At 37.6% G+C, this 26,029-nt stretch overlaps 1 protein-coding gene and 1 long non-coding RNA gene across 6 annotated transcripts in view; both read right to left on the bottom strand.

Moving 5' to 3' along the window:
- The window catches only part of RASAL2 (RAS protein activator like 2), a 384,747-nt gene that overhangs the window by 336,408 nt on the left and 22,310 nt on the right, over nt 1-26,029 (bottom strand). The window lies entirely within an intron of this gene.
- LOC105371630 (uncharacterized) lies at nt 7,093-24,114 on the bottom strand. Of its 2 annotated transcripts, XR_007066745.1 has the most exons (4): nt 19,261-24,114; nt 18,628-18,724; nt 16,942-17,116; nt 7,093-7,878 (listed from the first exon to the last, which is right to left on the bottom strand). It is a non-coding gene; the product is annotated as an uncharacterized LOC105371630 (long non-coding RNA). The 2 variants fall into 2 exon arrangements; XR_922307.2 differs by lacking the exon at nt 18,628-18,724.

Genomic DNA, 26,029 nt, shown 5'->3' with positions numbered 1-26,029 from the left:
TTGCAGACATCACCTCCTTAGCCAAATATCAACAAGTTCTTAAAACATTACAGGGAACCTGTCCCCAAGAGGAGGGAAAGGAATTTTTCCACCCTAGTGACATGGTATTAGTCAAGTCCCTTCCCTCTAACTTCCCATCCCTAGACACATCCTGGGAAGGACCCTACCCAGTCATTTTATCTACCCCAACCGCAGTTAAAGTGGCTGGAGTGGAGTCTTGGATACATCGCACTCGAGTCAAACCCTGGATACTGCCAAAGGAACCCAAAAATCCAGGCGACAGTGCTAGCTATTCCTGTGAATCTCTAGAGGATCTGCGCCTGCTCTTCAAGCAACAACCTTGAGGAAAGTAACTAGAATCGTAGATCCTCGTGGCCCTCCCTTGTTGTATTTTTCTTTTTACTGTTCTCTTACCCCCTTTCACTCTCACTGCACCTCCTCCATGCTGCTGTACTACCAGTAGCTCCCCTTACCAAGAGCTCCTATGGAGAATGCAGCTTCCCGGAAATATTGACGCCCCATCGTATAGGGGTTTTTCTAAAGGAAACCCCACTTTCACCACCTACACCCATATGCCCCTGCACTTTAGGCCATACATTTCAATCCCTGTATCTTTAACCTCCTTGTTAAGTTTGTCTCTTCCAGAATCAAAGCTGTAAAACAACACATCGTTCTTCAAATGGAGCCCCAGATGCAGTCCATGACTAAGATCTACCGCGGATCCCTGGACCAGCCTGCTAGCCCATGCTCCGATGTTAATGACATCGAAGGCACTCCTCCCGAGGAAATCTCAAATGCACAACCCCTACTATGCCCCAATTAAGCAGGAAGCAGTTGGAGCAGTCGACGGCCAACCTCCCCAACAGCACTTGGGTTTTCCTGTTGAGAGGGGGTACTGAGAGACAGGACTAGCTGGATTTCCTAGGCCGACTAACAATTTCTAAGCTTAGGTGGGGAAGGTGACTGCACCTACCTTTAAACACAGGACTTTTGTAACTCAGCTCACATCTGGCCAATCAGGTAGTAAAGAGAGCTCATTAAAATACCAATTAGTCTAAAAACAGGAGGTAAAGAAATAAATCATCTCTCGCCTGACAGCACAGAGGAAGGGGCAATGATTGGGATATAAACCCCAGGCATTCGAGCTGGGAGTGGGCAACCCCCTTTGGGTCCCCTCCCATTGTATGGGAGCTCTGTTTTCACTCTATTCAATCTTGCAACTGCAAAAAAAAAAAAAAAAAAAAAAAAAGAAAAGAAAAGAAAAGTGGTCTCCAGTGTTGGAGATGGGGCCTGGTCAGAGGTGTTTGGATCACAGGGGTGGATCCTCATGAATGGCTTGGCACCATTCCCTTGGTGATAAGTGAGCTCTCGCTCTGAGTTCACATAAGACCTGGCTGTTTAAAAAGTATGTAGTGCCTCCCCCACTCCTTCTTGCTCCTACTCTGGCCATGTGATGTGCCTGCTGCCCTTCTGCCTTCCGCTTCCTGAGGCCCTCACCAGAATCTGATGCCAGTGCCATGCTTGCATAGCCTACAGAACCATGAGCCAATTAAACCTCTTTTCTTTATAAATTAACAGTCTCAGGTATTTCTTTATAGCAATGCAAAAATTACCGAATACACTGGGGGTCTAAAGGACTTCTTAGGATTTTGCTTTTCAAGTAAAACATGTGAGGAGTTCACAAATTTAAAATTATGAAAAACTGGAGGCAAACAAGATGTCCTTTAACAGCTAAATGTATAAACTGTGGTACATCCAACACAATGGAGATTCACTGGTTTTTTTAAATGAGCTATCAAGCCACAAAAAGTCATGGAGGAAACTTTTAACTGCATATTGCTAAACGAAAAAGGCCAGGCTACATACTGTCTGACTCCAACCATGTGACATTCTGGAAAAGGTAAAACTATAGAGACAGTAAACATATCTGTGATTGACAGAGTTTCAGGGGGAGGAAAGAATGGAAGAAGAGGAGAAACACAGGGTATTTTCAGGGCAGTAAGCTATCCTATATAATACTGTAATGGTAGAGATATGGCATTATGCATTTGTCAAAACCATAGAACTGTATAATACAAAGACAGAAACCTAATGTAAACTGATAACGCATCAATATTGGTTCATCAACTGCAACAAATGTACCAAACTAACATAGAAGAAATTATGTGTGGTTGGGGGAGAGTGGCACTTGGGAACTCTCTGTATTTTCTGCACAATTTTTCTGTAAATCTCAAACTGCTCTAAAAAATGAAGTCTATTTTAAAAAACAAAAACTGTCCTTGGAGGAGCAATAATGAAAAAAAGATTGAGAAACACTGCTCTAGTCTTAAAAGACAGTGATTCAAATTTTAAACTTCCAATCTGCTTTCATAGGTTTTAGAATAATATAGAACTGGGTTCAAAATTCTGACATTTACCAATAAGGTGACAAGTTCTTTCACCTCTTAGCATTAAAAAGTAGAGGAAAGAATAAGACAAACTTTTAAAAGGGTATTTATAAAAAGAAAAACATTATGTATAGCAAAGTAAATACAACTGCACATATAAAGTGCTCTGGTTTTCACAAAGAGGAGCTCATTAAAAGGTACCCTGACTTTTTATCATGAAATATCAAAATTTGTGTACATTTCATTCCCATAAAAGGTAATAGGGTGTTTAGATAATTTTATCACTAATTTACTACAAAGGAAATCACCCTAGAAAAATCCACGTTAAAAAAAAAACTTATGACAACTGACAATTTTATATGATAATTACAACATGGAGTTCATGTGGTATAGTACCAATAAATAAACAAATAAATAAATAAATAACTTCCCTGCAGTTTCTTCACCTATCATAGGTAACTTTCCGACTCTTGGTAAAAAATGGAAAATATTTTGTCAATAACTCTGTGCCATATTGGGAATTAAAGTTAAGAATATGGAGTAATAGTAAGGAGTAACTTTTAAAAATTCAAAAACACTGTTATCACTCTGAAATTGTCTACTTTTAAGTCAGAAACAGTATATACATCAATAAAAGGGTAAGTAAAAAGTTTATAGCTGTAATCAGATAATGAATAATTATAACACTAATCTATTAGATTTAGTGTAGATCATCTGAAAATTACAATTAGAACAAAAACTGAAATGCTCCATTTTTCACAAATATGGTCCTCTCAGAAAAAAGTTCCCTTATTCCCATGAGAGAAAGAAATCTAAACAGAAAGTATATACCACTAGAGATTAACAATTCTTCCAAAAAGTTGAGATCCACTAGATATTTTTATTAAAATCCACTCCCTAACATTAATACCAGAAATATGTATAGCAGAAACTTACATCTTACATTAAATACAGAAGACATTCTACTTTTACCACCCTCAATTACCTCTTCTAACCAGTAATCTTCTCTACTTTGTATTTATTATATATCTATAACAACAAGGAATTTACCTTTCTTTTTCAAAATGTCCAATAAAACATGCTTTGTGGTCCACAGACAAAGGGTATTATATAATCTTAAAATTATAAATAAATCAGCCAATCACTGTTATATTTCTAATATTAAAAATAGCTAACACAAATAGCATTTACTAGATGGAAGGAACTGTTCTAACTACCTTATATATATAAATTGATTTGATACTCACAAAAGTCCTTCGAGGTATGTACTATCATCAACTCCATTCGGATGATCAGATGCAGTGACCATACCAAAAGGTATAAATTAAGAATTTTCATATAACTTCATGTCTACTGTCACATGACTGATAGTAAAATACAGCAATCACAAACATGTATCCTGATTTCAGAGCCCTTAGAATGTGAAAAAAATGTATGCAGCTCAGAATCAAATTAAATAGGGCATTTTCATACCATTTTAGAGATGAGAGAAATGAGAAAGAGGTTATACAGCTCGTTCAAGGTTATATGGCTTATACATATAATCTCTCTGTTATGAAGAGAGACCAACACAGTGCTGTCTATGATGCCTTAGTGTGTATGATAAAATCAGTTCTAATTCATGAAACTATTCTGAAAAAGTACTTTATGTAAAACTTTTACATTTGAGATATATTAATATGTGGTATAAAAGAATATCCATTATGACAACAATGTACAAAAGTATATGATATCATTCATATGACTATTTCAGGGAACTTCAGGAGAATCAGCTCATGACTTTAAGCATGGTTATCAATTTTTATTCTTTTTTATAAAGGTAGCCAAAAGATCTTCAGACTCCAAACAATTCTCCCTGTGCAGTCAAATAAAGACATCTCATCACCATTTTTCTATTCCCATAATAATCTGAATTCTTAACTCAAGTTTCCAAAAATATAATATTTTTCTTCCTCTTCCTTCTGCATAGCTAACAGAAGGTAGAAAATACACGTGGCACTTCTCCTGACAGCTTCTGGAAAGCACTGAGCAGGAAAGAAGTGAGAGCATCTCTGTTTCCACAATGCCTTTGGCAATCCAGAACACCTGCCCTTTAAATCACCCTCACTAGAGTAAGAACAATCTCTATAAAATATGACGCAGAAATGGCGACTAAAAACAGTACCAACATTAGATTCTTTATATATTCTTCCACAGTTTAAAAAAAGTTATTTGGTATACATTTAACTAAATCATCTGAGTCACAATCATGATTTCTTTGGCCACAAACAAATCATTTCACAAAATCTTTAACTCTACTTTTTGTTGACCATTTGAAAGCGTCAGTAAGCATCTGAGGCTTTCTTCCTAAAACCACTGACAAAATTTTTCATTCTGTGAAATGAAATTCCAAAACTTTTAAAAAGTCATTTAAAAGTTAACAGCTTTGCTAATAAATTAGTGCCCAATATTATGTCCTACTATATACCTCAGATGACAGAAGCATAGGCAATAGACTTCTCTTAGCACCAACAGAAAAAAAGCAGCTGGGATTGTATGTGCCTTAGAAATGTTCCAGAAAATCTGCTTCAGCACAGTAAAAACGGTGCCACACTCCACAGAAAAACAACAGAGGGAGACAGTAGAACTAACTTCAAATGCTCAATCCCCAACTTCCTTAAAAATGCAGTAATTGGGAGAAAGAGGACAGAGGAAAATATAACTTCAATTCTGCGAGCAGAAGCAAAACAGAGAAGGGAAAGTTCTGTCTCAGACCCTGCAGTTATTTTTAAGTTTCTTACTGAGAAGAATCATAGATCTACATGGATCCCTTCTACCCAAGTTTATTCTCTGGCTTTTGAAAAAAGAATAAAATCCTGAAACTAATAAACATTAGATTCTAAGACTCTGAATAACAAGAGAAAAATAAATTCCTCCACGGAAGTTAACTGCAGCTTACTGTCTCAAAATTTTGGAAAGCAGAATTATAGCCCTTGTGGATTTAAACTCTCCAATGGTTTCAACTACATTAAAAATTAAATACAAATAAATGTCACAACCTCAGAGGCCCTTAAGATCTGGCTCCTACTTACCTTTCCAATCTTATCCCCACTACATCTAATTAAAGGATAAAAGCCTTCAATTAGTTCTCAAAATTGTCAAGCTTTTCTTCTTCTAAAGCTCTGAACATATTATTCTCACTGCAGGGATAGGACTAGACCTTTATGTTTCAGTTTAAATATATCTCATCAGGGACACCTTTTCTTTTCTGGTTGTCTTATCTTTTCATCTTTTTTTTTTTTTTTTTTTTTTTTTTTTTTGAGACAGAGTCTCACTTTGTCACCTAGGCTGGAGTACAGTGGCGCAATCTTGGCTCACTGCAACCTCCCCACAACAGGTTCAAGGAATCATCCTGTCTCAGCCTCCTGAGTAGCTGAGATTACTGGCACCCGCCACCACGCCCCGGTAATTTTCGTATTTTTTGGTAGAGACAGGGTTTCACCATGTTGGCCAGGCTGGTCTCGAACTCCTGACCTCAAGTGATCCTCCTGCCTCAGCCTCCCAAAGTGCTGGGACTACAGGCATGAGCCACCACACCTGGCCAAGTCCTTTAAGGGAAAAAATAGAGTATCTAAGAAACACTGGGAAACCCTTCACATAATTTCTTTTAATCTTCACAAGAAACCTTAGATACTATTATTCTAGATGAGGAAATAGATTTGATATGAAGATTAAGCAGCTGGTCCACGGTCCCACAGGTAAAGCAAAGACTCAAGCCCAAATGGGTCTAATTCCAAGCCTACAATCTTTCTGCTACATTATATTGCCTCTCTGTTTGAAAGAAAACTATCTTACCAGAAGGAAATGCTTAATTAAATACAGAGCTACAAAAGGACAGTGGTTTACATAAAAATCTATGAACTGAAAATCTGGATAATTAATTTCATATTCACTATCTTTATTTCTTTTATATTAGCAATCCTAGCTAACTGGGATCATGCTAGATTTAAAAAACAATAGCTATTTATTCTACAGACCCAAAGAGTTCATACGGTTGATATGGTTTGTCTCTGTGTCCCCACCCAAATCTCATCTTGAATTGAACTCCCATAATTCCCACATGTTGTGGGAGGGACCTGGTGGGAGATAACTGAATCATGGGGGCAGTTTCCCCATACTGTTCTCGTGTTAGTGAATACGTCTCATGAGACCTGATGGTTTTATCAGGGGTTTCCACTTTTGCATCCTCCTCATTCTCTCTTTGCCTACTGCCATCCATGTAAGATGGGACTTGCTCCTCCTTGCCTTCCACCATTATTGTGAGGCTTCCCCAGCCACATGGAACTGTAAGTCCAATTAAACCTCTTTATTTTGTAAATTGCCCAGTCTCAGGTATGTCTTTATCAGCAGCATGAAAATGGACTAATACAATAGTATATGTAAAATGCTATTTCTTTTCTATACTTTATATAATTGCTATAATAGGTAAATCAAGTAGTTAAACTACAGAATTTCTCAGTTTAGCCTTAGGAATTCAGCTACTACGTATTCGGAAATGGCTTTTTTTTTTTTTTTTTTTTATGAAGAGACAAGATTTTCAACATTCTCCAATTAAGGTTAATAAATTGGGATAATATTTAGGCCAAATTAATTTGAAAAAGCCATTCACAAGTATTCTGGAAATACAAGGGGACTCCAAAAAGTTTGTGGAAAAAATGGAATTAGATGAAAATAGAAAGTATAAACTTTATTTCTCAACATAAGCTCCATCAAGGTCAAGACACCTGTAGGCAATAATAACACATATTTAGTCCATCCTTAAAGAACTGAGGGTCCTGCATTAACCATGTCAATGCAGTCTTTTTTACATTTTTAACTGAAGAAAAATGGATACGCTTTATAGACGTTTTAAGATTAAGAAATAAAAAAGTCAGAAGGAGCCAAATCAGGACTGTAGGGTGGATGCCTAATAAATGTGCATCAAAACTATCCCAAAATTGACCTTGTTTGATGAGAAGAATGAGCAAGAGCACTATCATGGTGGAGAAGGACTCTCTGGTGAAGCTTTCCTAGGCATTTTTCTGCTCAAGCTTTAGCTAACTTTCTTAAAATACTCTTACAATAAGCAGATGTTGGCATTCATTGGCCCTCCCAAAAGTCAACGAGCAAAATGCCTTGCGTATCCCAAAAAAAGTGTTGCCATGACCTTTGTTCTTGATCAGTCTGCTTCTGCTCTCACTTCCAACTCTTGGTAGCCAGTGATTTGATTGTACTTTGTCTTCAGGATGTACTGGTAAAACCATGTTCATTTATTGTTAAAATTCTTCAAAGAAATCCTTCAGAATGTTGATCCCACCTGTTTGAAATTTCCAGTGAAAGCTCTGCTCTTGTCTGCAATTGATCTGGGAGCAACAGTTTTGGCACCCACTGAGCAGAGTCAGAATTGTGTAAAATGAACCAGCTGAAATGTCTATGGCGTTGGCTATTGTTTTTGCTGTTAATCATCGGTCTCCTGCAATTAGAATACGAAAAAGATTAACTGATGTCGATTGCCTGCCCCTATAGCAGGCTTCACCTTCAACATCATCTAATCCTTCTTTTTTTTTTTTTTTTTTTTTTGAGATAGGGTCTCACTTTGCCACCTAGGCTGGGGTGCCATGCCACGATCACGGCTCACTACAGCCTCAACCTTCCAGGCTCAAGCAATCCTCCCACCTCAGCTTCCCAAGTAGCTGGGACTACTCACTCTAGGCCATGTCCTGAGATTACCCAAACAGCTCTACAGAGAGGTCCACATGATTAACAACTAAGGCTTCCTGCCAAAAGCCAGAGAGGAAGTAAAGTCTCCTGACAATAGCCATCCTCCCACCCCAAAGAGGCCTTCAGATGACTTCAGCCTTGCCAACATCTTGCCTACAATGTTATGAGAATCCCTGAGCCAGAACAACTCTGCTAAGTGGCTCCTAAATTTCTGATGCACAAAACTATGTGAGATAATAGATAAATGTTCATTGTTTTAAGCTGCTAAGTTTAGGGGTAGTTTGTTATACAGCAATAGATAAAAAATTTAAGTATCTCTCAATTATTAAATTTCTCACATTGTTTGCACCTCAACTTTTTTCCTTTCCCAACATTCATCAGAATCTTGAGGAGCAAGGCAGCTATTAATTAGAAAAGGTATCTCCACATGATCGTCACACCCTTCCCTGATTTGACAGTCACTCATAAAGAACATAATTAGCTGAAAATAAATGAGGTGCCCTTTAGATGTTAAGTACAGTAAGAAAGAGAGGCACTGACAAACTTAGCACTATTACTTACTGGTTTGACTTATTTAAACCTCAGGGGGATTCCCTCTACTCTCTCTTTTATATTTGCCCTGTGGAAAGGCTTTCATTGGGAGCAGGGCAAGAGCCCTAACCAGAATTTTTATGAAAACCTAATAACCCTAAAGTACCTAATTACATATCAGACAAATTTTCAAAACTTTGTTAGACAGTGAGTTATAAAGCAACTTACATTACTTCCCTGCCACCACACATTCCCCAACTCCTTACCGCAAAACAAAGTAATTTAAAAAAAAAAAAAAAAGAAGTAACAGGGAGCAGAATGTTTTCTGGTGGCATTTAAGATTAAGAAAGTTAAATAACTTCCTTGCACACACACCACATTCAAGTCTGTCCTGCTATTCATAGAGTTGCTAGGTTTACTTGTGGCTGAAACAGTGTCACCAAAGTGATCATGGAAAGGCAGATAACAGGCTTTTTGTTTCATGCCATGATAATATTTATAACAAAAAGGCAGGGGAGCAAAATGCGTAAGAGTAAAGCTAATGCCTCAGACAAGTTTACTAAAAAGTTGAAGTGAGGAAACGAAGAAAGGGATGCAGTAGAAGGATGACAGAGGACAAAGCATTGAGCTCTAAAACATACCAAACTGCACTCTTAATTAATGGATTTCACTTCCCTGCCTCAAACTCTTCTAAAAGTATCATTTAAATTTCTGAATTGTAGGCCGGGCACAGTGGCTCACGCCTGTAATCCCAGCACTTTGGGAGGCCGAGGCGGGTGGATCACCTGAGGTCAGAAGTTTGAGACCAGCCTGGCTGACATGGACTCTGTCTCTACTAAAAATACAAAAATTAGCTAGGTATGGTGGCACATACCTGCGGTCCCAGCTACTTGGGAGGTTGAGGCAGGAGAATCGCTTGAACCCGGGAGGCAGAGGTTGCAGTAAGCCAAGATTACACCACTGCACTCCAACCTGGGTGACAGAGCAAGACTCCGTCTCAAAAAAAAAAAAAAAAAAAATTCTGAATTGTAAAAGGTGAATCAAAACAACAAAAATGACATACAAATCAGTTATGGTACACATCCTCCAAACCTTAGAAAAAATAAAATCCATCTTGCTATTCAAATTCTACCTCCAAGTTAAATACCCAAAGAGATTTCTCCTCAACTTTAAAAAGGTGTCATTCATAATTGCAAAACCACCATTACTTTTGCACCAACCTAATAACTACTTTGTATAACTACAGGTAAATTACTGGGTGATTTATGTTCTCCTCATATATGATCCTATTCACTTCTAGATTAGAAACTACAAACATAAAAGCTTGCTTATATGATCTTCAAGCCCACAGAAGATCAGAAAGAAATAAGAAAACAGGTAACAGGTATGGTACACTGACAGTAGTAAATTATTTTTTTAAGGAAAAAGAGGCCAGTCACAGTGGCTCACACCTATAATCCCAGCGCTTTGGGAGGCCAAGGCAGGAGAATCACTTGAGCCCAAGAGCTCGAGAACAGCCTTGGCAACATAGTGAGACTCTGTCTCTACAAAAAAAAAAAAAATTTAAAATTTTTTAAATTAGCCAGGCATAGTGGTATACACTTGCAGTCCCAGCTACTCAGGAGGCTGAGGTAGGAGGATGGCTACAGCCCAGGAGTTTGAGGCTACACTCCAGTGTGGGTGGCAGAGCAAGACTCTAAGAGAAGGAAAAAGAGAAGGGGGAAGAGAGGGAAGAGAAAGAGGGAAGGGAAGAAGGAGGGGAAGGGAGGAAGAAAAGATGCCTGACAATGAGGAAGGAAACAAAAATTCTAAAACATGATTACAAAGACTCAAAACAGAATAGCCTAATTGGAATTTTAGTATAGGGATAAACAGTTGCACCATGTTCAAAACTACTGAGGGCATTCAGGTAGCATGTAATTGTTACTTTTATAAACATGTCAAGTTAATACAGTATAATATTTAAGAGTTCAGGCTCTGTGGTCGGGCTGCCCAGAATTCACAGTAGCATTCAGCTACTCACAATTCATGTGACCTCAAGAAAATTAACATCATTTTACTTCCTTGGGGATAACTCACCTACTCCTCAGTCTAACATTTAACTTGTGCATGATAAGGAAATAAGATAGTTGATAAAAGAATGTTCAGCTAAGTGTCAGGTTTTTGGAAAAACCACCACCACCTTGCAAGAGTTACTAAAAGAATGTTAAATTAGGTCTGGTGTATACTTTCCAACAGGGAAGAGAATGAACTGAAATATATCCTAGCTGGGTGCAGTAGCTCACACCTGTAATCTCAGCATTTTGGGAGGCCAAGGCAGGAGGTCTGCTTGAGACCAGGAGTTTGAGACCAGCCTCGGCAACAAATACGTACCCTGTCTCCACAAAAAAAAAAAAAAAAAAAAAAAAAAGATTATCCAGGCGTGGTAGTGCACGACTACAGTGCCAGCTACTCAGGAGGCTGAGGCAGGAGGATCACTTGAGCCTGGGAGTTCAAGACTGCAGTGAGCTATGATTGTGCCACTGCAGTCCAGTCTGGGCCACAGAGTGAAACCCTGTCTATACCTAAATAAATAAATATTTCCATTTAAGAGGCTTGCCTTTAAAAGGGTCTTGGCACTTACTGGGTTTTACTCTAATTATTTGGAATTTTAAAACATGAATTAATCTCGTAACCTAACAATAACACATGTTTTTTTTTGGTTTTTTTTGTTTTTTTTTTGTTTGTTTTTGAGACAGAGTCTCGCTCTTTCACCCAGGCTGGGACTGCAGTGGTGCTATCTCGGCTCACTGCAAGCTCCGCCTCCCGGGTTCACGCCATTCTCCTGCCTCAGCCTCCCGAGTAGCTGGGACTACAGGCACCCACCACCGCGCCCGGCTAATTTTTTGTATTTTTAGTAGAGACGGGGTTTCACTGTGTTAGCCAGGATGGTCTCGATCTCCTGACCTCGTGATCCGCCCGCCTTGGCCTCCCAAAGTGCTGGGATTACAGGCGACAAATGTTATTTTTTAAGTGAAAGGAATATATGACAGGAAAAGCCAAATCAGAAGACCAAGATTAATATTTGATTACATCTGCCAAACAAGGTGAAGAAAAAACAAATCTTTAGTCTAGAGGTTTGTTTATTTTGTTTCCCCCTAAAGTTAGCATCTAAAGACCAGGACTAAATCTAAGATACTAGACGTTACATATGGCTTCCTTACATTTCCCGTATGATAAACTATTCAATATATACTGTAGTCAAGACCGCATTCAAGAACTAACTTGTACACAATATATAATAAGTAAAAGAATAAATTATCTCTCCCACACAGAGGTGATATAGTTGAGATTATGTAAGATTTTCTACGGGGGAAAAACATGCTCCTTCAAACATCAGATGTCAAAACAAATACAGTGGCCCAGGGGGATATTTCAGGGCAACTTAACATAAAACAGAAAAGAAACTTAATTAAACATTTTTCTTTTAACCTTCAACCTCCAAAGTCCAAAGTCATATGACCTGCCAATTGTCAATCACATATTACATCTCCTTGTGTTAAAATTTGGGTAGAAGTCAATGACCACAGGCCCAGAGTGACAATGAAACAGATATGGAAATTGGCCTTTAAAAAAATCAAGTTTGAGACATTATCTTAAATGCACTATATAGTAATTGTTTTATAAACTGCCCTGCTGAATTTGAATATACTACGGAAAAGACCTGTTCTATATTTGAAATGAAGCTTTTCCTTAATTATGTAAATGTCTGTGTATCATAAAAAGGGAAACTCTGTAATACTAACACTTATGTTAATTCTAAAATATAAATCTGGCCAATGAGTCCTGGTGTTTTAATTATTCTAATTTAATGTACTAGTGTCAAAAAGAAAAAAACATGTTTTCACGTGCATACATGTATCAAACATTTATTTTTCAACAAAGATGCCAAGAGCACTCAATGAGGAAAGGAAAATCTTTCTAACAATGATGTCAGGATAATTGGATATCCACAGGCTAAAAAATAATCTTATGGGCTCTTACCTCATAATCATACACAAAAATTAACTTAAATGGATCACGGGTCTAAATTTTAAAACTAAACTATAAAATTTCTTCAAAAAAAAAAATGTTCATGACCTTCAATTAAGCTGAGTTCTTAGATATGATACTAAAACCATCAATTGTAAAAGAAAAACCTGACGAACTGAACTGCATCAAAATTTTAAACTTTTATACTCCAAAAGACATCAAGAAATAAACAGGCCACACACTAAAAGAAAACATATAAAAATCACCTATCTTTATAAAGATCTTTTATTCAGAATATATAAAGAATTCATACAATTCATTAAGCAGACAGACAGCCCAATTTTAAAATGGACAAAACATATGAAGTGACACTTCAGTAAAGAAAATATACAAATATATAGTAAGCACATAACAAGGTGTTCAACATCATTAGTAATCACAAAAAATACAAGTTAAAACCACAATGAAATGCCACTTTACGTACATTAGGATGGCTACTAGAAAATGAAAAAAGTAACAGAAAAATAAGTGTTGGGGAGGATATGGAGAAATCAGAGCCCTTATACAATACTAGTGGAAATGCAGAATGGTGCAGCTGCTATAGAAAACAATTTGGCATTTCCTCAAAAGGTTAAACATAGAGTGACTATATGACCCAGCCATTCCAGTCCTAGGTATATGCCAAAGAGAACTGAAACCTATGTACCTTAACATATAAAACATACGTATGTTCATACTATATAAAACATATGTATGTTAACATAAAAACTTGTACATGAATGTTCATAGTAGCATTATTCATAATAGCCGAACAACCCAAATGTCCATCTACTAATGAATGAATGAATGAATGAATAAACAAAGTATGGTATATCTATACAATAGAATCTTATTCAGCCAAAAAAAAGAATGAAGTACTAATTCACGTTACAACATGGATGAACCCTGAAAACACCATGGTGAAAGAACCCAGTCACAAAGAGCCACAAATTTTATGATTCTATGTATTGAAATGTCCAGAAATGGCACATTTAGGGGAATCAGAAAGCAGATCAGTGGTTGCCTAGGGCTGGGAGTGGGAATTAACTGCAAACAGATACAAAGGAATTTGTGGGAATAATGGAAATGTTCTAAAACTGGATTGAAGTGATGGTTATACGACTTTATAAATTTACTAATAATCAGTGAATTGTACAATTACAATGAATGAATTTTATGTACATAAATTACACCTCAATAAAGTTACTTAACAAAAAAAGATGTACAGAGTATTATTGTTTCAAATAAAAACAACAAAATCATTTCCTTCTCTCTATTATAACATCACCAATGTGAGATTCTGAGTAACTCATTTAATCCTCATAACAAACTAACAAGTAGAATTCTATTATTACCTTCATATCACAAACCAGGGAACTGAGACAGAGAAATTAAGTATTATGTTATTCAGTTAATAAATGGCATGACCAGAGTTAGAACTCCTATTTATCTGACTTCAAATAATAAAAATTGATAGGCACTTCATTTGTTCACAAAATGCATAAGCATTTTTTTCTATGAATCAATTTTTTGAATTCTGAGGTTTTAAAGGAAAGAAATTCTTTAGACACCAAAGAGATCATAAATACTCGGGTAGTGATGTAGAAAGAACACTTCATTGAAGTCAGAAGAACCGGGTTGATGAACCTTAGGTGAAAATGAAAGAATTGAACTACAGTATCTTTAAGGGCCCTTTCAAATTTTGTTCCACAAAATCAAATGTCTTCCACAGAAAATTGAGAAATTTTTCACCACTGGTTTTCCATAGCTTTAGTAACTTAGTTACAGAGCAATCATTTCCTCTTCTTAATTTTTTATATTTAGAGGCAATGCTCTTTATCTGGCTCTGTCTTTTTCTACCAGTCATTTACAGTAAACTTCTATTCTTTAAAAAGAAATTAACACTGACAAAATTCAACTGAAATGATGTACAATTCTCCTGATCAGGGATTGAGGGGGAAATGTATAGGCTATGGGAGCACATGTATGAAAAGTCTAGATTCTAGAATAAGTATGGAGATACTAGATATTAAAGGTGATCTTTTAAAGATCACCACTAGAGGAATGTATCTCCAGCCTAAAAGTAACAAAGTTATAAAATGTAATGTTCACTCCATTTCCTCTGTAAGCCTTGAGTTTTGTTTCTATCAGGTAATTCTCTCAAATACAGGGTTTCAAAAAAGACAGGCTCTTTCCAGATAATTTATCCCTGAAATTTTAAAAATCAGAGAAAACACTATCAATGACAAAGGAATGATGTATTATGATTACTTACTATGAAAAATGGCAAAGAAAGAGTTACTGCTGTTCTTGTTATTTTCACAGGAAAAAAGAGGATTGCAATTACCATTTCCTTGTGCCTTTAAACGCTTCTATTTCAGAATAGAAAATATTTTTTTTCCTGCTGCCTAATTTTTAACAGGCTATGTATTTCTCTAAAACTCAAGAATAATTCGAAGCCAAGAGAAAACACTGAACTTAATAAATATACTATCATTAAGTACTGGGTAATAACAAATATTAGAAGGAATGCTACTTAAAAACCAGGTATAACCTTTGATAAGTCTCTATCTTCAAGCCACTATACTGTGACACATTCCACACATTCTGGAAATATTAATCATTACAGGTTGAGTCAACTCAACCTACAGTTTGTGGGTCACAAGATGACTGAGGCGAAATAAGCTACAAAATGAAGGACAAAGAATTAGACAGCAATCCTACCTTAAGTATTTCAGAAAGAAAGACAGTATTAATCTAGCTGCTATAAGTGGGTGTTTGCTTCTCTTGTGCTGAAGGCCAAGCCTCAAACCACTGACTGAGTCAGTTTTACTCAGAGAAGTCATGAGGCAGCAGACTGGACATGACAGCATGCTATGTAATGAATGACACACCCTGTTTCTGAGCACAAACCTGAAGCATCAGAACAATGTTAATAAAAGTCATTTACAGGAATTGAATGAATGTCACTGCTCCCTTCTTATCTTTCCACTCCCCATCATCTCCCATGGAATATGAAGAACAACTTCCAAACAGTAATGCAAGTAGAAATCTGAAAAAGGCAGCCAGGTTGTAAAGTGTACTCACTCTTGAGCTTTCCCACATTTTTATTTAAATAGATTTCAGAAATAAGTGAGACAATTTTAATAAACTATTCAATATAACTACCTGTACATGGTTAAAAGTGTTTTTTAAAAGGTAATGACTAAAAGAATGGTGTTTCTTTAAATCTTACTCATGGAGGGTGCAAATGCACAGTGCACAGCCCATCCCAGATGTTCAATATTACACAACAATATGGCCAGAGTCTAGAATCCTGATTATGCCAGTCAGGATTGCCTTGCTAGTCAACCTAGGCAAATAAATAGATGAATATTTCTACTTACAGCATTTATTTACTGTCTACAATCTTAAAAAATATACATTATATATCTTTACATGTGTTTGAGACTTGTCACTGCAACTAGACAACAGGCTATTTGAGGGCAGGAACCAGGTCTTCTGCTTCGTGCTACTGATTACAAGATAATAACACAGGCTCCACAGCCATATCACCAGGTTTCAAATCCAAACTCCACCACCAGCTTTGTGACCTTGTCCAAGATACTTATCTTCCCTATGTCTCAGTTTTCTTATTTGCAAGAGAGGTAAGAGCATATGACTGCTGTAAAATTTATACAAGTAGTAAGTTCTGAGTACCCAGAAAGTGTCTGGCACATAGTAAACATTATAAAATATCAGTTATTATAACTATCTGTATCCCTACAATGCCTAGCACCAGCCCTTGCTCCTTAGGTAGGTGTCCAAGTATCTGCCAATTGGCCAAAAATATGTACTATATCAACAATACAATTTCTCTCACTGTCACCATCTAATTTATGAAAAATGAACTCTCTGCTATTCTAGAATATCTTCTTTAATTCTTCAAGATGTCTTACGCAATTAGTCTAAAATGTAGGATTATATATCCCTACTTTTCAATCTAGTTGAAAAGGAAATGAAAAATAACTAACTAAACAAATTATTCACCTGTTCGTTCTGCATCTGTTTGACAGTCCCAGCTACTAAGTGTGAGAAAGCAGAAGCCTTGTCAATGTAATTGTAAGCTACTTAAAATATCACATCGATTATCAGAATACAGGAAAGTATACTGTTATTCTTCTGAAAAATAATTAAGTTAATTTCAGTAGCAAAAAATAAAACACCATGATTTTAAGCTTTTTGAGGCCCTCACCAGAAGCAGATGCCGGCACCACATTTCCTGTACAGCCTGAAGAACTCTGAGACAATTAAACTTCTTCTCTTTATAAATTACCCAGCCTCAGGTATTCCTTCACAGCAACACAAAGTGGACTAATACAGTAAGCATATATTCTACGTTGCATATGAAGAGATGCCATTCCAAAGACCTAGGAAATAATTTAGTGAAAGAAACTTAAAATAAGGTAGTAAAATATATTCTCAGCAACTACCACCAGTCAGATAATTCAATTTCCCCTAAAATATAAAGCAAAAATGATCTGAAATGTAAAACATTTACTATACATATGCCACAGAAATTGGCCAAAATGCTGCATATTTGCTAGAGGAAATAAGATTAAAGGAAGCATTTCAAGTGACCAGAACTTCCTTAACATACTTTTTCTAACTGATGTTTGGGCAATAATTCTCCCAGGATATTTCTGCCAATTTGTAAGAACCTAAAAAGGATAGGAGATAATTTCTCTAAGTATGAGATATAACATTTTCAAACTCAAGTTTTTTACCTCACTATAACACTTCTTTGATGCTGAATTAATAGAAAAGAAAGCTTATGGAGAAAGGAAATTCTACCACTGAAATACTGCGGCATTTTAAAAGTTAACCCATTTTAATAAAGCTGATAAAAAATGTGTTTTTTTAAAAAACCAAATCAACTGATACAAGCTGGTAATAAAATTAGAGAGTCTCTCCCAAAGGAGGGCGGGGCAATTCTGAAAGAGAGGCTATTGTCTCATACCATATAGGTCTAATAGGTTATCATACATAAAATACAAATAACATTTTCTTATTAAAAATCTTACTAAAGCTGTTGAAAGAAAACTTAGGTTTAATCAAAATATCTTTGCAAAATAAACATCCTAATAAAAGAGTAAACTAACGGTAAAATAACCACAACTTACTAAGCTACTCGTTTATAAAAATATTTGCCTCCCGTCCACTAAACTCTTATCTACAGAGAATATGGACTGCAAACTAAATTATATTTTAGAAAACATTTCTCTAAGGCAGAGTTTCTCAGCCTAGGTACTTACCCTTGATATTTGGGACAGGATAAGTCTTTGGTATGAGGGGCACCATGCACTCTAAAATGTTTAGCAGTACTCTGGGCTCCACCCACAAGATACCAGTGGCTCCCCACCCCCCTACTCCAGTTGTGACAACCAAAAATGTCTGCAGACTTTGTCAAATGTCCCCTGGAGGGCAAAATTCCCCTAGGCTGAGAACTACCACTCTAAGGATTGAACAGCTTTGACAGAACTTCAGACTCTCTCCTATCCTCTCTACATAAAATTTAATAAAAATTAGCTACCACTTCTTCCAGTGATTTTCAAATTTTATGCCCAAAGCCCTGAGTCCCTAGGAAATGTCTCAGGAACACCCATGGGGTATGTAACCAGAGCAGGTCTACTTTCATTTTCTGGGGTTCTGGATATTTCCTTTGGGTGGGAAAAAGTTTGGAAATCCTGTCATAGATAAGTATGTCACTAATAGTGCATTTTGGGCCAGGCAAGGTGGCTCATGCCTATAATCCCAGCACTTTGGAAGGCCGAGGCAGAAGGATCGCTTGAGCCCAGAAGTTCAAGACCAGCCTAGGCAACATGACAAAACCCCATCTCTACAAAAAATACAAAAATCAGTGGGGCATCATGGCGTGCACCTGTAGTCCCAGCTACTCAGAAGGCTGAGGCAGGAGGATCAATTGAGCCCAGGAGGTTGAGGCTGCAATGAGCCATGGCTGTACCACTGCATTCCGCCTGGGTGACAGAAAAAACAAAAATATTACCTTTTATACAACATCAAATTTAAAACCTCACATTTTTTTCTGTCACTTCTCTATTTTTAAATTCAGGATCAATTTCAGAAAACCTGACATCTGGAAGAGCTCTAGGAGAGAGGACAGTGAAGTGGGGACCACAAAGCAAGTTTGAACATGTAGCTTATCTATATCTACTTAGCGCAACAGGAACTGTAAATGTAGTTTTTAGAAGCATTACAGTACTTTCTACTTTGGTTAAACAAAAATTAGATGTTCAAAGCCCTGAATTATAAAATTCAAGGCCAAGTTTCGTCCTCAGGAGAAACTAATAAATGAAATGAATGCTATAATTATGTGTTAGCTTTTAAAACTCCAAAAATTCATTCAATTCATAAATTGAAAACAGATACCCTCGTTCTCTCTCAGCCTTCAAAGATCTCATAATTTAATCATCTTAAACAGGTGAGCAATACGTATAACATGTTGAATGTTCTATGTCAGGAGATCTCGACTTTTAATGTATATCCAAATTACCTGGGTGCCTGTTAAATGCAATTCCTAGGCAGCTCCCAGATATTCTGATTGGTGAGAGATGGGTGAAGGAAGGGTCCAAGGATCCGAATTTTTAACAAGCATTCCAGGTGATTTTTAGATAGATGATCTGAAAAACTCATTTTGTAAAACACTGGTCAATATGCTGAATTTGGCACACACATTATATAGCGTTATCATGAAATTCTATCCTTTTCTATCCCTAGACTATTCCATACTTGGTATTATCACTAGTCTCTGGTCAACTCATCTAAGATCTAAAAATTAATTTTAAATACTATACAATTAAAATCATCCAAAGTAGTGTGTGAGCAAAAAAAAAAAAATGGAAAGTAAGTATTACAGATTCATTTTATGATGAATAGCTAGGCTATAAAATTTGACAAATCCAAACCATTAATCTTTCCCTTGTGAAAAAAACTACATTTATCCCAGCTATAATTTTATATATTACAAGACATTCAAAAAAAACAAAAACTTTACTGGTTATGAAAATCCAAGCTCCTTGATAAAGATTTTCATGCACCACAAACATACTTGGCTCTAACAAATAGTACAGTCAGTTCATGAATCAGTCTTCATTTATTTTCTTCCTGGACACACATTAAGTTGATGTTCTAGGATGCAAATAGATAAATGACTTCTAGTGTCATTTCTGAAATCCAGTCATTATGACTGCATTCCTACTATAGTCTGAACACCTCAAAATATTTCAGCAAATGGCCATGTCAATTTCAACTTCTCCATTTCTGACCCAAACACAGTCAAAGCAGGCAGCATTAGTTTCTTTTTGACTTAATGTGTATCCCCAAACACTCAATTTTTTACACTCCAGTGTTGGCTTTATAAGACATATAAACAATCCCATACTTGTCGTATTTTTTCTTACACCAGACAAAAACAGATCGGTGATAAAGCACACTGATGTTTTTACATTTCACCTAACATACCAAACCGATTTTAATGCACATTTCATGAATCTCAGGCTGGTGGTACATTCAGTCACTATTTCAGCAGTAACAATGAGAGTCAGCTCCATGGATTCCACGCTCCTTTGAAAAGACTCAGCATGTCCTTTGTTTTCAAGATACAGAATACCATAAATAAAAACGAGGCAGTCTAACAATGACTTGGTCCTAGAGCCAGGCTGAGCTCTTAAAGAGCCTCCAAAAGCCTCCAGAAAAAAAACCAGAAAACAGTTATCAGGAAGACTAAAGCCAAAAATGAGGTGATGTCAGTGAAAAATGGCAAAGAAAAAAAAAGTGGGGTTAGGTTTTTTTCTATTTGTTATTGTTTTGTTTTAAGCTATACACAGAGTAACATGAAAGAAACTCAGAGAGGTTCAGGGTTGGGGGAAAAGAGTATAACAACAACAAATGGGCTGGGCATGGTGGCTCATGCCTGTAATCCCAGCACTTTGGGAGGCTGACTGGGCAGATCACCTGAGGTCAGGAAATTCAAGACCAGCCTGGCTAACACGGCAAAACCCCAGCTCTACTAAAAATATAAAACTTAGCCAGGCATGGTGGTGCGCACCTGTAATCCCAGCTACTCAGGAGGCTGAGGCAGGAGAATCACCTGAACCCGGGAGATGGAGGTTGCAGTGAGCCAAGATCACGCCACTGCACTCCAGCCTGGGCAAGAGTGAGACTCCATCCCAAAAAAAAAAAGAAAACAACCAATGATGAAGAGAAAGCAGAAATACTTGATTTCTATTAGAAGAGAGGTTGAGAAATCAACCACTGGATTAGTCTCTAACTGAGCAAATCACAACCTATTTTAGCCTCAGTTTCTTCATCTATAACCTTGTGTATTTCACAAAGTTGTTATGAGGAACACTGAGAAAAATGTATATCATGCACATCAAAGTAATACATAAATACGAGTTTCTAATACCCTAGTGAACAAAATATATTTTGAAAGGAAACATTAAGAGAAAACTGGAACAAGAGATAAGAAAGAATTTATTCACAAAACCTCTGAAAGTGATCTTGTAAAAGGAAAATGTACTGATTTTCATAAAGTAGTTAGGGGTAGATTTCAGAAGCTAGAAACCAGTAAGTCTGACGATACTCACCTGGAAAAACTTGAAAATGTAGTATGAAAACTTGAGGAAAAGGAAATTACTGGGACCCTGAAACTGATTCTCTAAAACAGGGGTCCCCATACCCTGGTTCCTGTTAGGAACTGGGCCACCACACAGGAGGAGATGAGCAGCAGGCAAGCAAGCGCAAGCGAAGCTTCATCTGTATTTACAGCTGTTCGCCATGGCTCACATTACTGCCTGAGCTCCACCTCCTGTCAGATCAGCAGCGGCATTAGATTCTCATGGGAGCACGAACCCTACTGTGAACTGAGCATGCAAGGGATCTAGGTTGTGTGCCCCTTATGAGAATCTAATGCCTGATGATCTGAGGTGGAGCTGAGGTGGTAATGCTAGCGCTGGTGAGTGGCTGCAAATAGAGATTAACATCAGCAGAGAGGTTTGACTGCACAGAGACCATAATAAATCAATTGCTTGCAGACTCATATCAAAACCCTATCAGTAAGTGGCAAGTGACAATTAAGCTACATTTGGTGGCAGGCTTTATAGTGACAGTGAGTTGATGTACATCAATGGTACAGCCGCATCTGGTGGAAGGCTTTAAGTCAGAATCTGACACTGATTTTAGTCCATGTGTAGCCCATCATTATTTTATTTACCACTTCCATCTATGCCTCTTTCCTGTACTGTGCACTTGTCTCAGTCACAGTTTTGGTAAGCCCACAAGCTAACTCTAGCAAAAATGAGTAAAAAATAAACATTACTGGAGAGCTTCTTTGAAAACAGGAAAAGACCCAATGGTGAAACAGCAGGGGACTCTAAGACTGCCAACAAAAAGAAATCTACACTTAAAATACCAAGAGTCCTACTTAAATTATGAGTTCATTGCAACAGGTGATTCACATTCTCCAAGCCACTTTGTACAATATTTGATGACTAGCTATCAAACGAAGCCATCAAACCTTCAACACTGCTTCGCCACATGGAGACCAAGCGCCCTGCGTTAAAACACAAGCCTTTGGAGTTCTTTAAATGAAAAAAATGTGAATATCAAGTACAGAAGCAATTACTGAAGGCCACCACTTCATCAAATGTGTCTGCACTGAGAGCATCATTCTTAGTAGCTAACGGCATTGCTAAAGCTGAGAAACCCTTTAATACTGGTGAAGAGTGATCCTGTTTGCTGTTAAGGACAACTGTCATGAACTTTCAAGAGAGGCTGCAGTTCAAAGGGTGGCATGTGTTCCTCTTTTGGCTAGCACCATAACTAGATGAATTGAGGAAATAGCAGAGGATCCTGAGGCACAATCGTTAGAGAGGATTAGTGAGTCACCGTGGTAGGCAATCCAGATTGACAAGTCTACCGATGTTGACAACAAGGCAACAGTGCTTGTTTTTGTGTGATATATTTTTCAGGAGGATATCCATGAAAATATGTTACATGTACTTCTGTTGCCAACCAACACCACAGCTGCAGAACTATTCACGTCTTTGAATGAATACATATCAGGAAAACTGAACTGATCATTTTGTGTTGGTATATGCAAGGATGGAGTGACTGCCATGACTGGACAGCTTTCTGGTTTCACTACTTGGGTCAAAGAGGTCATTTTTGAATGTTGAGTCTATGCAGTGTATCATCCATAGAGAAATGCTGGCTAGCTGCAAAATGTCACCTGAACTTAACAACGTTTTGCAGGATGTGATTAAAATTATCAACCACGTTAAAGTACATGCCCTTAACTCACGCCTGTTCACGCAACTCTGGGAGGTGATGGATGTAGAACACACACATCTTCTCTTACACACAGAAGTGAGATGGCTTTCTAAAGGTAGATCCCTGGCCAGAGTTTTTGAGTTATAAGAACCACTCCAGAGATTTCTCTTAGAAAAACAGTCACCAGTGGCAGCATATTTCAGTGACACACAATGGGTCACAAAACTTGCTCACTTGGCCAGGCATGGTGGCTCACGCCTGGAATCCCAGCACTTTGGGAGGCCAAGGTGGGTGGATCACCTGAGGTCAGGAGTTCGAGACCAACCTGGCCAACATGGTGAAACCCTGTCTCTACTAAAAATACAAAAATTAGCTGGGTGTGGTGGCGGGTGCCTGTAATCCCAGCTACTTGGGAGGCTGAGACAGAAGAACCACTTGAACCTGGGAGGCAGAGGTTGCAGTGAGCCAAGATCACACCACTGCACTGCAGCCTGGGCAACAAGAGCGAAACTCCATCTCAAAAAACAAACAAACAAAAAAAAAAAAACCTGCTCAATTGTGTGACATATTCAACCTGCTCAACAAACTCAATCTGTCATTTCGGGAGAGAATGACAACTGTGTTCAAGTCAGCAGATAAAGTGGCTGCATTCAAAGCCAAACTGGAACTATGAGGGCGATGAGTGAACATTGGGATTTCTGAAATGTTTCAAACATTAGCAGAGATTTTGAAAGAGACTAAGCCAGGGCCTTCCTTCTCCCAGCTGGTGCGTGATCACCTATCTCAGCTTTCAAAAGAGTTGAAGTATTACTTCCCAACCACAAAAGATCCCCAAACTGGAAAGGAATAGATCCACAACCCATTTGTGACTAAGCCAGGTGAACTGACTTTGTCCATGCTAGAATAGGATCAACTGCTTGAGATCGCAACACACTTTGTGTGTCACTGTCTCCCATCACCCCCAGATGAGACCATCTAGTTGCACGACAACGAGCTCAGGGCTTCCACTGATTCTACATTATGGTGAGTTGTATAATTATTTCATTATATATTACAATGTAATAATAATAGAAATAAAGTATACAATAAATGTAATGAGCTTGAATCGTCCCCACCCACCTCCTCCCCATCCGTGGAGGGGAGGTTTCTTCCATGAAACCAGTCCCTGGTGCCAAAAAGGTTGAGAACCACTGCTCTAAAACAAGTTAAAAGAAATATATATATATCTTTTTTTTTTTTTTAAACAGAGTCTCGTTCTTACTGCTCAGGCTGGAGTGCAATGGTGCAAGCTCAGCTACTGCAACCTCCACCTCCCGGGTTCAAGGGATTCTCCTGCCTCAACCTCCTAAGTAGCTGGGATTACAGAGGCCAGCCACCGTGCCCAGCTAATTTTTTGTATTTAGTCGAGACGGAGTTTCATCATGTTGGTCAGGCTGGTCTCGAACTCGTGACCTCAGGTGATCCACCCATCTTGGCCTCCCAAAGTGCTGGGATTACAGGTATGAGTCACCACGCCTGGCCAAGAATATTATTATATTCTATCTTAGTCTACTTGGGCTGCTATAACAAAATATCTTAGACTGCATAATTTACAAATAATAGAAATTTATTTCTCACATTTCTGGAGGCCTGGAAGTCTAAGATCAAGGCCCCATTAGATTCAGTGTCTGGTGAAGGTTCACTTTCTGCTTCATGGACAGTGCCTCTTGCTGCATTCTCACATGGCAGAAAAGTCCATACAGCTAGCTCCCTTGCACCCCTTTTATAAGGGCACTAATCCCATTCACAAGGATTAAGTCACCCTTGTGACTGAATCACCTCCTAAAGGCCCCACCTCTTAACACTATCACATTGGTGATTAACTTTCAACATATGAATTGGGGAGGACATCAGCATTCAGACCATAGCATATTCCACATCCTAATTGTGCTTTATTTATAAGATCACACTATTTCCTTCAAAGTACATTTTAAACATAAATAAATCTATTTCAAAATGCATCTTTACTAGTTACTTCAAAGACAAATTTAAAGTCTGTTTTAAACTAAAATATTAAAACATCATAAAATGCTTAAACAGAATGGTTAGAGTTGAGTTCATCTCAGAAACTGCACCTGATTGAGATGCTAGCCCCAAAAGCTACTCAGGTTAAATCATAAAAATTACTATTTACAACAGTATCAATTACTTTATTACTCAAATGCTTCCAGTTAACTCTAGTAGAGAAAGTATAAGGGAATATTTTGATTTTTGTAAACACAAAATAGCCTCATTCCAATGTCTTAATAAGTGTTCTTCAATATATGGCATAAATCTGTAAATTAAGAACAATACCTTTCTTACCCATCTAACAGGTCTGTTATGAAAACAGAATGAGATATATTATGTATGAATGTTTTAAGTAGTTATTGAGCCCTATAAAAGTGTTAGGCATTATTTAAGTCTATGTTTGGCTCTTCACTTTCAGACTGATAAATCAAAAATTACAAAAATTAGCAATCTAGGCCAGGTGTGGTGGGTAATCCCAGCACTTTGGGAGGCGGAGGCAGGCGGATCACGAGGTCAGGAGATCAAGGTCATCCTGGCTAACACGGTGAAACCCCGTCTCAACTAAAAATACAAAAAAATTAGCCAGGCGTGGTGGTGGGTGCATGTAATCCCAGTTACTCAGGAGGCTGAGGCAGGAGAATGGCGTGAACGCAGGAGGTGAAGATTGCAGTGAGCCGAGATCGTGCCACTGCACTCAAGCCTGGGCGACAGAGCAAGACTCCGTCTCAAAAAAAATAAAATAAAATAAAATAACAATCTATTAAGAAACTTTGAGCAAAGATTCATATTTAACTGAAGTAGTTCCTCCTTTAAAAAAAAAAAGTAATGTTTAATAATGGTTAATAACCTAAATAATGGAATCATAAGAAATCTTCCTACTATTATACTACTCTAGTGATTCTTCTTGTTTGTAGATACCTCAATGTGCATAAGAGTTCTGA

Source organism: Homo sapiens, chromosome 1 (assembly GCF_000001405.40).
Source record: "Homo sapiens chromosome 1, GRCh38.p14 Primary Assembly".
NCBI lineage: Eukaryota > Metazoa > Chordata > Mammalia > Primates > Hominidae > Homo > Homo sapiens.
The sequence above is the reverse complement of the archived record's forward strand: the minus strand, read 5'-3'. Positions and strand labels throughout refer to the sequence as shown.